We start from the raw sequence: 16,164 nt of genomic DNA on the forward strand, positions 1-16,164 counted from the left end.
TCTCAAAACAAACAAACAAACAAAAAAGAAGCAGCCAGGCTGATTCTTGAACACTTTGCTGCTTAGAAATTTCTTCCACCAGGTACCCTAAATCATCATTCTCAAGTTCCAAGTTCCACAGATCCCTAGGACAGGGGCACAATGCCTCCAAGTCCTTTGCTAAGATATAACACATGTGACCTTTGCTCCAGTTCCCAATAAGTTCCTCATTTCCACCTGAGCCCTCCTCAGTCTGGACTTCACTGTCCATATCACTATCGGCACTTTGGTCACAACTATTCAACAAGTCTCTAGGAAATTCCAAATTTTCCCTCATATTCCTCTCTTCTTCTGAGCCCTCCACACTCTTCTGACCTCTATCCATTATCCAATTCCAAAGTCACTTCCACATTTTCAGGTATCTTTACAGCAATGCTCCACTCCTTGGTTTCAATTTTCTGTATTAGTCCATTCTCACATTGCTATAAAGAAATACCTGAGACTGGTAATTTATAAAGGAAAGAAGTTTAATTGGCTAGCAGTTCTCCAGGCTGTACAGGAAGCATTGTGGATTCTGCTTCTGAGGAGGACTTAGGAAACTTACAATCATGGTAGAAGGTAAAGGGAGAGCAGCATTTCACATGGCCAGAGAAGGAGCAATACAGAGAGAGGCAGGAGGTGCTACACCAGATGGTTTTAAACAACCAGATCTCGTGAGCACGCACTCACTATGATGAGAGCAGCACTGAGGGAGAAATCCGCCCCCATGATCTAATTACCCCCAAGCAGGCCCCACTTCTAGCATAGGGGATTACAGTTGAACATGAGATTTGGGTGGGGACACAGATCCAAATCATGTCACTGCCCTAAAAATCCCATGTTCAAACTATTCATCCTTCCCTTCTTCCCTTCCATCAAACTCCTAGAAACCACTGTTCTTTTTATTATCTCCATAATTTGGCCTTTTCCACAATGTTATATATTAATCATTAAAATGATACAGTATGTAGATATAGCCTTTCAGATTGGCTTCTTTTACCTAGCAATATGCATTTAAGGTTCATCCATGTCTTTTCATGGTTTAGTAGCTTATTGCCTTTTAGTACTAATATTCTGTTGTATGGATGTACCACAGTTTGTTTACCCATTAACCTATTAGAAAACACTTTGATTGCTTCCAAGTTTTGGCAATAGTGAATAAAGTATGTGCTGGTTTTGGTGGGGACATGTTTTTAATTCATCTTGGAGTACCAAAGAGTACAATTGCTGGATCTTTGGTAAGAGAATGTTTACTTTTTAAGAAACTGCCAAACTGTCTTCGAAAGTGGTTGTACCATTCTGCATTCCTGCCAGTAATGAATGAGAGTTTCTGTTGCTCCACATTCTTGCCAGCATTTGGCATTGTTAGTGTTTTGTATTTTACCCATTCTAGTAGGGTATAGCAGTATCCCATTGTTGTTTGGATATGCATTTCCCTGATGACAAATGATGTGGAACATCTTTTCATTTGTTTATTTGCCATTGGTATACAGGCATACCTCAGAGATATTGTGGGTTCAGTACCAACCACCACAATAAAGTGAATATCTCCATAAAGCAAGTCACATGAATTTTTTGGTCTCCTAGCACATATAAAAGTTATGTTTACACTATAAGTGTCTATTAAGTGTGCAATAGAACTACATATCTTTTTAAAGTACATACCTTAATTTAAAAACATTGCTAAAAATGGTAACAATCATCTGAGACTTCAGTGAGTCATAATTTTGTTGCTGGTGTAGGGTTTTGCCTCGATGTTGGTAGTTGCTGACTGATCAGGGTGGTGGTTGCTAGAAGGTAGAATGGCTCTGACATTTTAAAAAATGAGAGAAAACTGAAGTTTGCCGCATCAATTGACACTTCCTTTCACAAAAGATTTCTCTGTAGCATGCAATGCTGTCTGTTAGCATTTTACCCACAATAGAACTTCTTTCATCCTCTCCAACTGTGCTACTGCTTTATCACCTACGATCATGTAATATTCTAAGTTCTTTGTTGTCATTTCAACAATGGTCACATCATCTTTACCAGGAGTAGATTCCATCCAAAAAAAAAAAACACTTTCTTTGTTCATCCATAAGAAGCAATTCCTCATTCCTTCAAATTTGTTCATGAGATTGCAGCAATTCAATCATATCTTCAGTCTCTACTTCTAATTCTAGTTCTCTGCCATTTCCACCACCATCTGCAGTGACTTCCTCCACTGATGTCTTGAACCCCACAAAGTCATCCTTTAGGACTGGAATCACCTTCTTCCAAACTCCCATTAATGTGGATATTTTTACCTCCTCCCATGAATCATGAATTTTCTTAATGGCATCTAGAATGAAGAATCCTTTCCAGAAGGTTTTCAGTTTACTTTGCCCAGATCCATCAGAGGAATCACTGTCTGTAGCAGTGATAGCCTTACTAAATGTATTTCTTAAATAAACTTGACAATCAAAATTACTCAGTGATCCATGGGTTGTGGAATGGATGTTGTGTTAGCAGGCGTAAAACAACATTAATCTCCTTGTATAGGTCTTGGGTGACTAGGTACATTGTCAATGAGCAGAAATATTTTAAAAGAATTTTTTTTTCTGAGTAGTAGATCTTGGTACTGGGCCTAAACATTCAGCAAACCATGCTGTCAACAGATGCGTGATCATCCAGGCTTTGTTGTTTCATATATAGAATATAAGCAGAGTCGATTTTGCAAGATTCTTTTTATTTTATTTTATTTTTTAATTGAGACAGGGTCTCACTCTGTCTCCCTGTCTGGAGTGCAGTGGCATGATCATAGCTCACTGCAACCTTGATCTCCCAGGCTCAAATGATCCTCCTGCCTCAGTCTCCCATGTAGCTGGGACTACAGGCATGTGCCACCATGCCCAGCTAAAGATTTAGCATAATGCTTAAGGGCCCTAGGGTTTTCAGAATGGTCAATGAGCATTGGCTTCAACTTAGAGTGACCAGCCACATTAAAGTGATTAGCCCCTAATAAGAGAGTCAGCCTGTCCTTTAAAGCTTTGAAGCCAGGCATTGATTTCTCTCTAGCTATGAGAGTCATAGATGGCATCCTCTTCTAACAGAAGACTGTTCGTCTACATTGAACATCTGTTTAATGTAGCCACCTTCATCAATTATCTTAGCTAGGTTTTCTGTATAACTTAGTGTAGCTTCTCCATCAGCACTTGCTGCTTCACCTTGCACTTTTAGGTTTTAAAGTTGGCTTCTCTCCTTTAATCTCTTAGCTTCCCACTTTTCTTCTGCAGCTTCTTCATCTCGCTCAGCCTTCGTAGACTTGAAAAGAGTTAGGGCCTTTCTCTAGATTAGGCTTTGCCTTGAGGGAATGCTGTGGCTGGTTTTATCTTCTATCCAGACCACCAAACTTTCTCCATATCAGCAAGAAGGCTATTTAGCTCTCTTATTATTTGTGAGTTTACTGGAGTAGTGCTTTTCATTTCTTTCAAGAACTTTTCCTTTGCATTAACAACTTAGCTAACCATTTGGTGTAAGAAGTCTAGCTTTCGGCCTATCTCAGCTTTTGACATGCCTTTCTCACTAAGCATAATCATTTCTAGCTTTTGATTTAAAGCCAGAGATGTGTGATTTTTCCTTTAACTTGAATACTTAGAGGCTATTGTAGGGTTATTAACTGGTCTGATTTCAATGTTGTTGTGTCTCAGGGAAGAGGGAGGCATGAGGAGAGGAAGAGAGACGGAAAGGGCCAGTTGGTGGAGGAGTCAGCACACACACAACATTTATCAATTAAGTTTAGAATCTTACATGAGTGTGGTTTGTGGACCCCAAACAATGACAATAGTAACATCAAGGATCACTCACTGCAGATCACCATAATAGATATAATAATAAAGTTTGAAATATTGCAAAGACTATCAAAATGAGACACAAAGACATGAAGTGAGCACATGCTGTTGGAAAATCGAGGCCCAATAGACTTGCTCAATGCAGGGTTGCCACAAACCTTAAATTTGGAAAAAAAGAAAAAATGCAGTATCTGTGAAGCACAATAAAGTGAAGTGCAATAAAATAAGGTATGCCTATATTTTCCTTGGCGAGGCATCTTTTTAGGTCTTTTGCCCATTTTGGATACCAGTCCTTTATCAGATCTGTGTTATGCAAATATTTTATCCCATTCCATGGCCTGTCTTTCTATTTGTTAAATAAAATTATAGGAGGCTATTGTTTTATTTTCCTTTCTTCTTTATCAGTTTTTTCTTTTCTTTTCTTTTTCCTTTTTCCTGTCAGAAAGGTTTAGAGTGAGGCACATCGCACACACAAGCACGAACATCCAGTCATCACACTTATGAACTACGAAAGGAGAAGGCTACTGTTTTGGGCTAAGCTCCTGTGCTAGGTCCCAACAGACCAGAGTAAAAATCAAAATGGAGTCACTCATGCAGTGTTTCCAAGTTGCTAAACTAAGTTGTTATCTGACCTTCAAGAAATCAGGAGAGAGGGATAACAGTCATTTTTCAAAACAGGCCAGTTTCAATCTTTAATTGGCATGATAATGATCATAAGTTCCCTCTGCTTTAATCTTTACACACAAAGGGTAGACAAAAGTAACCTGATGCTAACTAAACCGTTATCCTTCTATTGTTGTTTTGTTTTCTTGTCTCTGCCTTACAAGGAAAGTAACTTTGAAATGACCAATCTGCTTTCTTCAGCCTTTTCTGTCTATAAAGCCAACCCCCACTGTTCAGCTCATTGGAACACTTACTCTGTTTTGTAGGATGAAGTATTCCTCGATTCTAGAATCACGACATAAATCAAAAAGTATCTGAGACAAGTCTCAATTAATTTAGTAGTTTATTTTGCCAAGGTTAAGGACGTGCCTATGACACACCTCACGAGGTCCTGATGACATGTGGCTACGGTGGTCAGTCTGCAGCTTGATTTTATACATTTGCAAGGAGACATAAGACATCAATCAATACACATAAGATGTACATTGGTTCAGTCCAGAAAGGTGTGACAACTGGAAGTGGGGAGTCCCAGGTCATACGCAGATTCAAAGACTTTCTGATTGGCAGTTCATTCAGTTACTACTTACAGATCTGGAATTTAAGCAGGGTGCAGTAGCTCACACCTGTAATCCCAGCACTTTGGGATGCCAAGGTGGACGGATCACCTGAGGTCAGGAGTTCGAGACCAGCCTAGCCAACATGGTGAAACCCCATCTCTTCTGAAGGTACAAAAATTAACCGTGTGTGTTGGTGGGTGTCTGTAATCCCAGCTACTCCAGAGTCTGAGGCAGGAGAATCTCTTGAACCCAGGAGGTGGAGGTTGCAGTGAGCCAAGTTCACATCATTGCACTCCAGCCGGGTGACAAGAATGAAACTCAGTCTCAAAAAAAAAAAATCTGGAATTTTATTTAAAAAGGAATATCTGGGTTATGATAAGGGGTTGTGGAAACCAAGGTTTTATGCAGTTGAAGCTTCCAGGTAGCAGGCTTCAGAAAGAATAGATTGTAAATATTTTTTATCAGACTTAAAGAGCCTGTTCTATCAGTCTCAAGGTCTGTGTTGATGTTAATGGTAATGAGGCATATCCAACTCCCCCTTCCCATCATGGCCTAAACTAGTTTTACAGGTTAACTTTGGAATAAGTTTTACAGGTTAATTTTGGAATAAGTTTTACAGGCTAACTTTGGAATAAATTTTACAGGTTAACTTTGGCTGAGAGGAGGGGTCCAGTCAAATGGTTGGGGGGCTTAGAATTTTATTTTTGGTTTACAGCAATAAAGCCAACTGAGATCATTAAACTACATTTGTTGTAATTTTGTGTTTTGATGGATGAAAGATCTATTTTATCCTTCTAAATTAAATGCCTTCTCTATCCTTTTTCCTCCCTGTTTCCTTGGAAAGGTCTTCTCTATTTCTGAAAACTGGAGAAAAGGAAGCCTCTGTATCAAAACTCTCAAGTGTCCTAGGAAGGAAATCAAGCAAACCAGAGTCCTGAAACAACCTGACAATTCCAGTTCTAAAGAGAATCGATTACTAACAGCTATGGCACTGGGCCCAGGAAATAGAAGTGCTCCAACCTCTGCAAAGCCTAGAATGAAACACACAGGGGCAAAGGGGAAGACTTCCCTGAAAATCACTGACAAAAATCAGATTAATCAGAGAAAAGGCATAGAATTTATTTATCATGGTTTTATGTGACATGGGAGCCTTCAGAATGAAAACCCAGAGACACAGGGGAAACTGTTTGCTTTTATGCTTAGGTTCCACAAAGCATGGACAGATGTGTAGAAATATGATTGGGCAAAAAGGATATGAGCTAATGGTAATAGACTCAGTGGGGAAACCCAGCAAAACCTCTTTTCAGGTTCTTCTTGGCCTCTGTCCAGGATTTCTGCCTTCTGGGTATGGGCAGGACCCTCTCTGGAATAGAGTTTTTATAACCTACAGTCAAACAAGGTAAGTCAGATCATTTCTTTCTCTTTCTTTTTTTTTTTTTTTTTTTTTTTTTTGAGACAGGATCTTGCTGTGTTGCCCAGGCTGGAGTGCAATGGCACAAGCACGTAGCTCACGGCAACCTCGAATGCCTGGGCTCAGACAATCATCCTGCCTCAGTCTCCTGCTAATTTTTATTTGGTTTTTTTTAAGAACAGAATGTCACTATGTTACCCAGGCTGGACTTGAACTCCTGACTTCAAGCCATTCTCCCGCCTTGGCCTCCCGAAGTGCTGGGATTATAGGCGTGAGCCACTGCATCTGGCCGAAATAATTTCTTTATGGCCAGTTTTTATACAAAAAGGTGGGAGGCGGAATTAGAGTAATATTTTTTGGTCTTATGGCTGGTTTTGGGGGAAAAGGAGTTCTGGTTTCTATGACCCCCCTTGGGGAAGAGGAATTCTACTTTCCATGGCTGGCCTTAGGGGAAAGTGAGGAGCCAGAAACAGGAGGTCAGGAAAAGGTCAGAGAAAAACTTTTACTTCTGAGGCCTTTAAGATATCATTTTCTGAGTCCCAACAAACATCATGTAAGAATATGGAAACTGTAAGCAGATTTTAAACTCTCAGAGAGAGCTCCAAGCACAAGGGTGGGTGTAGTACTGCTCAGTTGCCCATTTTCTTCATTCACAGGGCCTGAGAAACCTGTGGCTGAGAAGCTGCTGGCCCAGCTGGTCCTCATCAGCCCATAAATACTGCATGCAAAAAGGATTAATAAATCAAATCTAAGAGAATTAAGAAGGGATATGACTACATCTTACAATTTAGCTCATTATTTTCCAAATTGGCTCATCTCTGGACTGTATTAAAGAAATCGGTGGTGTTATCTGACACATCCCAGACTACCAGAAGAGGCAGCGTTGCAGCATTAACAACAATCACGTGTGCACATAAGCAGGGAAGGCTCAAAAAGACCAAGAAAGTACTCAAGGTAATGGAGACCCAAGATGTGGTGATTCCAAAAGAGAAGCCTGCAATCTTGTTGTAAACTGTACAGTCTCACGTTTGCCCTGGTTACCCTGTGGAAACAGGACAGACCCATTGGGTAGGTTTTACCCATTTGTTGACTTTTCACTATTGCCAAATATAGGTCTCAGGAATTGCATTTTGTTGCTGGCTTAGTCTCATGCCTTTTTGAACCGCTCTCTATTAGGCACAGTAAAATAGAAGGAAATAGCCCCTCTTACATTGTAATGAGTGGCCCCTATAAAATCAGCAATAATCAGTTTGTGGGGCAAAGCCATGAGGATTCATCTAGAGGGCAAATTGCTGCCTCCTATCCCCTACCCACGTCATTCAAAATAAAAATAGAATAAAACCATAAATAAATGTAGAAGAGTTCAAAAAATCTGATATTTCCTACGACGACTACATCAACACTTTTGTATTTGTATATAAAATAATATATCCCTTCCAAAATCTCTCTCTCTTTCTCTGTCTCCTTTTTTCTCTTTCTCTCTCTTCTTTCTCTTTCTCTCTCTGTCTCTTTCTCTTTCTCTCTCTCTTTCTCTCTCTCTCTTTCTCTCTGTCTCTTTTTCTCTCTCTTTCTCTCTGTCTCTGCCTCAGCTGCTGGCGACCTCGACATGGGCCTGTAGCTGACTTCAAGGATCCCAGATGGAAGGTCCCAGCTACATCCTGGGGTCCATTCCATTATTACCCAAAACCGTAGAACGACCCAGTGCAGTCAGGTTATTATAGAGTCCTGAAGAAGACCCCTTATTGACAGATGTCAACAATTCTTAACTGTTTTCATCATCTGCCCCCACGATTTCTGTCATAAGCTAAATAAATGTACTTTGGTGGCATGATGTTTAGTATGATGGTTGCTAAAGGAGGAAGGGTTTCTGAAACTCCTGCGGAGTTTTCTTTCCCTGTTACTAGATACTTCTTCCAGGTAGCTGATAAATCTGTTAAAACAGAACATTTGTTTCTATGAACAATAAATACTACTGAATTGTCACATGTTCTGGCTTCTTTGCCATTTAACCAATAAAATGTGAAATTGCTGAAAGATAAATTTTTAGAAACTTTCAGGATTGGAAAATACTAATTTTCTTTTTTCTTTTTTTTTTTTTTTTGAAACAGAGTCTCACTCTGTCGCCCAGGCTAGAATACAGTGGCACAATCTCAGCTCACTGCAACCGCTGCCTTCCAGGTTCAAGTGATTCTCCTGCCTCAGCCTACTGAATAGCTGGGATTACAGGCACCCACCACCATGCCCGGCTAATTTGTGTTTTTAGTAGAGACACAGTTTCACCATGTTGGTCCGGCTGGTCTCGAACTCCTGACCTCAGGTGATATGCCCGCCTCAGCCTCCCAAAGTGCTGGGATTACAGGCGGGAAATACTAATTTTCTACCGGGCTTAAGATTGTAATTTTTTTTTCTGTGAAAATTTAACCTTTAAATTGCCTTTCAAGCTAATCTGACTTTGCTTTGTTTTCTCCTTCCTTCTGTTAACCTGTTTACAATTCTCCCAGTATGTACTGACAATTTTCTGTCATGGGAGTCATGAGCCACCTAGCACGCCAGGCCTGTCAGCCACCCAGCAAAGTAGGGCTCTTTCTTATTGCTGAGAACACAAACGTAAAACACAGCTCCTATTTGCACAGCAGTGAGTTACTCAAAGAAACACGGGATAGAGTCGTTTCAGAAATAATCCTCTAGCATGACAGGCAGGTTGGTTCAAGTACTGCTCTGAGACTTCTGCCTAAGGCATCTGTTTCAGGCAATCAGCACAATTTATCTGATTAGATTTAGAATGCAAGGTAACTTCTACCATCACAAATGGCCAATTTCAGATCTCTCACCTCAAGGAAAACCCCTTAAGGTTGCTGTTCACAAGGTTATAGAATATTTTTATGAGAGTCCCATTAACATTGTTGAAAAAGGGAGTGATTCTACCCAAAGCTGTGGGCGACATAATCAGGCTCAGCCTACGATGACAAATCTCATTCTCATTTTCACCAATTTGCTCATTAAAATTCTGATTGTTGGGGCAAAGTAATTACGTAGTGGAGGATCTATTTATTACAGCTGACATTCTAATCAAGTAGCAGCAGGGGGCTAATCGACCAGTGTTATTGGATAAAGAATTACAACTTGAAACAAAATTATAAATAAATGTCCCACTACAGTCACAGAGCTTGAATATACTAAAATTGATGACTAGGACCTGGTGATGCAATTAATTTTGATATAATGCCCAATACAGAGTGGCACTTAAATGTCTAAATGCTGCATCTCCGTGTGCTATGCCCAAAACAGAAAAACAGGGCGGTAGAAGGACTCAGAGCCTTAGGCACTAGACCCTTGTGCCTAACACATATCTCTCAGTCAATATCTCCCAAATCTTCTGGAATGCACCTGAAGGATGCAAAAATGTAAACCACACTTAGAAGATAAAAGTGTTCTTTTTCATGCTGAGGAAGTGAAGAGTTGCTAAACATATGCACATTTCACCCTAAATGCCTGGACTAGCTGGCAAAGGTGATCATTTGGGCATTCATTCAAAGAAAATGTTTAGTGCTTCTAGAGGACAGGTAACGTTTCAAAACAACCGCCACCCCCACCACAACAAAACCGTCAAAATATGGTTTATGTATAAAATGTTGACTCTTTTAATATGGATTTATGTTTTCACAAGTATTCAGTAGCTGTTCAAGTATAGCTCTAAAATTACTTCAATGGCCTTTTTTGCTGTCCCTTTTAAACCCCATCAAAGCAACTGAAACTCTGTATTTAATTTTTAAAAAGCATTCTAAAATGTCCAGGTTCTTAAACCCCAAAGGAAAACACAGCAAAGCTAAGTCCTTCACAAGCAGTAACAGAAATGATCTCATTACGCACCATTGTCCAAACACAGCCGCTCTTCAAACAGACCAGGCAGGGAAAGATCAAATGGAGGTGCTGGTTTCTATTTTATCTCTACCTAAAGGTTTTTCTGTTAAGTTGAAACTGAAGCTTATGCTTTTTACAGAGCTCAGTTGTTTTAAAAGGGAAGAAAAACACCTCAAAGAAATTACTTTAGAAGCTAAAAATTATGGTTTAACTAATGTTAACACCATTGATCATAACTTGAAATACAAAATCAGCAATGCAAAAAGACCGGTTAAATGTTCCTACTAATTTCCCCCTCATCTTGGTTTCCTGGCTCCACAAGAACTCTGTTCACAGCAGTTGTTTTAGGGGAAAACAAACCTCTGTGCCACTTAACCCATTAGGAGCTAGTTAGTAATTTGTGTGCTTGATTCCATTCAATGAATGCTTTGTAAGTCTACTAAGAGCTTGGGACAGATCAGTGGAAAAAAAACAAAAGAATCACTGCCCTTATGGAGCTTGAATTCCAACGGGAGAAGGCAAACAGTAAACGTTATAAAAAGTAAACTATACAGTATGCTTGCATTGTTGGAGCTCAGAAAACAATACCCCAAAGTAAAACTGCCATTGCAAAACTGTAACTGAGACAGTGAAAGAGATCTGACCGAACCAACTCCATCTTGCGTGCTCCAAACCGTCCTTATTCATTCCTGGCCATAGGCCAAACTAACTTTGGGGAAAATTAGTTTATATTTTTTTTTAATTTTTTTTTTTTTTTTTTTTGAGACAGAGTCTCACTCTGTCACCCAGGCTGGAGTACAGTGGTGCGATCTTGGCTCACTGCAACATCTGCCTCCAGGGTTCAAGCAATTCTCCTGCCTCAGCCTCCCAAGTAGCTGGGATTACAGGCACCCACCACCATGCCCGGCTAACTTTTGTATTTTTGGTAGAGATGGGGTTTCACTATGTTTGCCAGGCTGGTCTCAATGTCCTGACCTCAAGTGATGCCCCTGCCTTGGCCTCCCAAAATGCTGGGATTAGTTTATACTTTAAAACAAAGATGATAACAACCCTTTCCCAAAACAAACCCCCTTTTTGCCTGGGGACTGGCTTGCCTTGATAGAACTAACAAATTAGCCAAAAGATTAGAAATTATGGTTTAGGAGTCATGCAGCAGGAGGCTACTAGATTCTGACCCTCCCCAAATTGCTCCTGGGAATAACATCACTATCGTAAAGCCAAAAATTAGTGCTTGAAATATTTTGCAGGCCCTGCACATGATGGATCAGCTGGCACCACCCAGATCGATAAACTGGCTCATCTGGTCTTGTGGCCCCAACCCAGGAACTGACTCAGCACAAGAGGACAGCTTCCACTCCCTATGATCTCATCTCTGACCCAACCAATCAGCACTCCTGACTCACTGGCCGCCCACCCACTAAATTATCCTTAAAAACTCTGATCCCCGCATGCTCAGGGAGCCTGATTTGAACAATAACAAAACTCCAGTCTCCTGCACAGTCAGCTCTGTGTGAATTACTCTCTCTATCGCAATTCCTGTGTCTTAATAAATCAGTTCTGTCTAGGCAGTGGGCAAGGTGAATCCACTGGGCAGTTACAAAAGTATGGTGCTTTGGAGGGCTGAGTACTAGGAACCAAAGAAGATTGGAAGGCCTCAGAAGCAAGGTTTCTCTGACCTTCTCCTGTCCTCCTGTCCTCTGCCTGTCTTTATCCTCCCAAAGCAAGTCATAGAAACCAGATGATTTCTCTTCCCCAAGGAGGGGTCATGGAAACTAGAACCTTTCTCCCCGAAAGCAAGTCATAAAACCTAGAAAAGGTCACTCTCTCCCTTCTCCCTTAACGCCCTCACTCCAGAGGGGTCCTGCCCCATATCCAGGGGGAAGGAAAGCTACACAGAGAGGTCAGGAAGAACCTGAACAGACAGACCTTGCTGCCCTGCCCTCAGTTTATAACAGTTAGATCACACTCCTTTGTCCAATCACATTTCTATGAAGATGTCTATTCTTCATGAAACCTAAGCATAAAAACAGACAGTTCTCCCTGGGGCTTTGGGTTTTCATTTCTAAAGTTTCCTGTGTCATGTAAAACTTTGATTTTGCTAAAATAAACATTTATTTATATATATTATAATATTATATATATAGACCCTGATTTCTCCTTCCTAAAGGCATATTGCCAAGATGGCTGTATCTTGAAAGGTGACACATCCTACTGAAGAGCCCTGGGCCCAGAATGCTTAAACCCATGTCTTCAAATCACAGAAGATAATACACTGTTTACACTGCTTCATTTTTCTAACTTGCAGAAGTCACCCTGCAAATCTCCATTTATTGCCACTTTCCATCCTTAATATTTCACTTGGAAATGCTTCCCAGCAATAGTTCTTTCTTTTTACTTGCAAAAAAAAGATCTTCGTTTGGAACTTCCTGCCTTCAGATGAATGTTGTAAACTTTACATTTCTGTTGGCTACAGAGTTGTTGGCTCTTAAAAATGGCATTTGCTTTTAGTTCAGACATAAAACTTTCTTCTCCAGCCTTTCATCACAATTGTGAACCTTACCGACTAAGACATTGAAGGGGATCAGAACGTGCCATCCCAAAATACACCACTTTGTCTTTTTTTATTAGCATTTTATTTTTTATTACAATTTTATTTTTATTTTATTTTATTTTTATTTTATTATTTTATTTTTGATTATTTTGAGCTGAAGGCAATTGAGAAACAAGTACTCTTTGCCCTTCCTCTTTCTGCCTAAAACCAGAACATGCATTTCCCATGAAAAGTAACTTCCCAGTACTAGGAAGAGAACATTCTTATCACCAGAGATAAAAAGTTGGTGCCAAGGTGAGTCTGCACAAACACAGCTTATCTTCCATTAGTTTCCCCCAGACATTTCCTAGTCACATTCCCACAATTTAGTGCCCCAGAAGCTCAAACCTCTTTCTTTTCTAGTGACTTCCACACAACTTATCACCCTTTGCTAAAATAGTATATAAACGTATCACCCTTTGCTAAAATAGTATATAAACCCCTGAATCTAACCAATTCTGGGGGGTTTTCACTTTTTTTCTATGAGGCCCCCCATGCCATGTAAAAATACTAACATCAAATAAGATCTATATGCTTTGTCTCCTGTTAATCTGTCTTTCGCCATTTTAATTCACAGGCTCAAGAGGGTAAAAGAAACATTTTTCTTTCCCTACAATATTTTATCTCATTCCAATTCTTAGTCCCTCAATCCTCCACCTTCCACCCTACAGGCCTCTTTTCTGTGCCTTCTAGAAAGAAAAATTATTTTTCCATTGTTCAGAGGGAGGCTATCCATCTTGTGGTTCATTTATACTCTTTGCCTACTAACTTCTTTTCCCATTTTGGTCATTTCGAAGTATCATTATCAGAGAAAGTTGGAGATAATATTTTATAAAATACATTTACATACATTTGATGAAGTATCATTATTTCACCAAAAATCATTTTATTTTTCTCTTACTGGGCACTTGGGAAACTACATTTTCCAGCTCATCTTGCAGTTTTACTGAGGCCATGTGACTCAGTACTGGCTAGTGGGGGATGGGTGGAAATGACATAAGTCACTCCCAGGTCTGAACATTAAAAAGATATCATGCAGTCCTCATCCTCTCTTTGCTTTCCTCAACAATCTTGGAGGTCACATATTGAGGTTACATCACAAGAAGATGGAACCTGGATCCCAGGGTCTCCAGAAAGAGAATCCCCATTGGCCCACGCATCAATCAACTTTGGTTGTACCAAGCCATTGAAGCCACTGAATTTCAGAGTTATTTAGCTCTGTAACACAACCTAGAATATTCTATTATTATACTCTTATTTAATTCTTGTTCTGCTCCTCCATGCCGCCCCAAAAATATTTCACAGATGGAGAAGCCAGTCAGTGAAGCTACTAACCTGGCTAAGCTAGCACACCTAGTAAGTGAGCCACTCCTCGGTTCTCTCTACATCATAACTACCCTGTTGCTAGTGCTCTTTTGTGTAAACTTTCTGTGTAGAAGAGGAAAAAGAGCCCTCCTAAGTTCTCCAGCTGGGACCCTGTAGATTAAACTGACAAAAGACAGACTAACAAGAGAAAAACAAAGTTTATTAACACATCATATATATACATGAGAGGACTCAGAGATGAGTACTTAGTGTTTAGAACTTGGACACATACAGCATTTTAACAAAACAACAGGTCTGGGCGCGGTGGCTCACGCCTATAATCTCAGCACTTTGGGAGGCTGAGGCGGGTGGATCACGAGGTCAGGAGATCAAGGCCATCCTGGCTAACACGGTAAAACCCCGTCTCTACTAAAAATACAAACAAAAATTAGCCAGGCATGGTGGTGCACACCTGTAATCCCAGCTACTCGGGAGGCTGAGGCAGCAGAATCACTTGAACCCAGCAGGTGGAGGTTGCGGTGAGCCAAGATCACACCACTGCACTCCAGCCTGGGCGACAGAGCAAGACTCCATCTCAAGAAAAAAAAAAAAAAAGAAAAGAAAAGAAAAAAAAACAATACGTATGTACAGAACTGGCAAGGCAAAGAAAGGGATTTTGAGCTTCTAGAATGACAAATTGTGGGACACTAATATGTGGGGGAAACTAATGGATGATAAGGGATAGTTAGTAAGTTGAGTTATATAGCTTCTTCTGATCCCTTACCAACTTCTCTGGGCTGATAAGGGTCTACAGTTGCCTCTAGTGATTAACCTTTGTCCTTCCTAGGAGAGAAGAAAGGGAGACTATCTTTATGAATTTATGTTCTGCTTTTAGGTGAACTGGGGGAGCAAAGAGTTTTCCATATATTTGTTTCCTCTTAATTGCCTTCAGCTAAAAATAATCCTTAGGCTAAGGTGTCATATTCTGTTACCCTTCAGTAGTGGTCTACAACCCCCAGTGGACCATTCATCCCAAAGTATCATACACTTAATCTCTTTGGAAAGGTCATTTATTCTTATCTGCCACTACTCTGTTTAACATGCAATAAGGGCTGGGTGAGGTGACTCACACCTGTAATCCCAGCACTTTGGGAGGCCAAGGTGGGCAGATCACAAGGTCAGGAGTTCGAGACCAGCCTGACCAACATAGTGAAACCCCCGTCTCTACTAAAAATACAAATAATTAGCCAGGCATGGTGGCGGGCACCTCCCAGCTACCCGAGAGGCTGAGGCAGGAGAATTGCTTGGACCCAGTAGGTGGAGGTTGGAGTGAGCCAAGATCACACCACTGCACTCCAGCCCCAGCAACAGTGCGATACTCCATCTCAAAAATAAATAAATAAATAAATAAATAAATAAATAAATAAATAAATAATTTTTTTAAAACATGCAATAAGAGACACACTGTAGCTATGAGGTCATGATGGGAGATATCATAATGGGGAATAATATCAGACCTCTCTGATATTCAGCTTATAGAGCCAGAATATCTCACAAGTCTCATGCTTCCAACCACGATGGCTAAATAAACAAAAAGCCATGTATCACAACAAGGACTATAAAGAGAGACCAGAGCAAAATTCATCATGTACTATAATGGGTGGAAGCAAATAATCAGAATTCAGCCCTTTCTAGTACCATGTGGGTTAGAACCTCAAAACCACCTCAACATGTTGCAGCCCCACTCCCATCTATAAATAATGATACCACCCAAAAGACATGAGAAACATAATTCTCCATTTACGTGTGTGTGTGTACATGTCCAGGCTTTAGAAATACCTGTGCACACTTCCTTATATCTATCCTTCCCTCTCTATATAGATGGCACCATCATCTACCCAGTAATGAAAACCAGAAACCTGAGCATCGTCCCTGACTTATCCATTTCTT

The 16,164-nt window shown here is 40.3% G+C and overlaps 1 long non-coding RNA gene and 1 pseudogene across 1 annotated transcript; one reads left to right on the forward strand and one right to left on the reverse strand.

Moving 5' to 3' along the window:
* Positions 1 to 4,263: 4,263 nt before the first annotated feature.
* Positions 4,264 to 4,344, reverse strand: LOC124901552 (uncharacterized; annotated as a pseudogene).
* An 828-nt stretch (positions 4,345 to 5,172) lies between these two features.
* LOC105377928 (uncharacterized) lies at positions 5,173 to 7,193 on the forward strand. The gene is made up of 3 exons (XR_942842.3): positions 5,173 to 5,215; positions 5,892 to 6,446; positions 7,115 to 7,193. It is a non-coding gene; the product is annotated as an uncharacterized LOC105377928 (long non-coding RNA).
* The last annotated feature ends 8,971 nt before the right edge of the window (positions 7,194 to 16,164 follow it).

The sequence above is a fragment of the Homo sapiens genome, chromosome 6, assembly GCF_000001405.40.
Source record: "Homo sapiens chromosome 6, GRCh38.p14 Primary Assembly".
Taxonomy (NCBI): domain Eukaryota; kingdom Metazoa; phylum Chordata; class Mammalia; order Primates; family Hominidae; genus Homo; species Homo sapiens.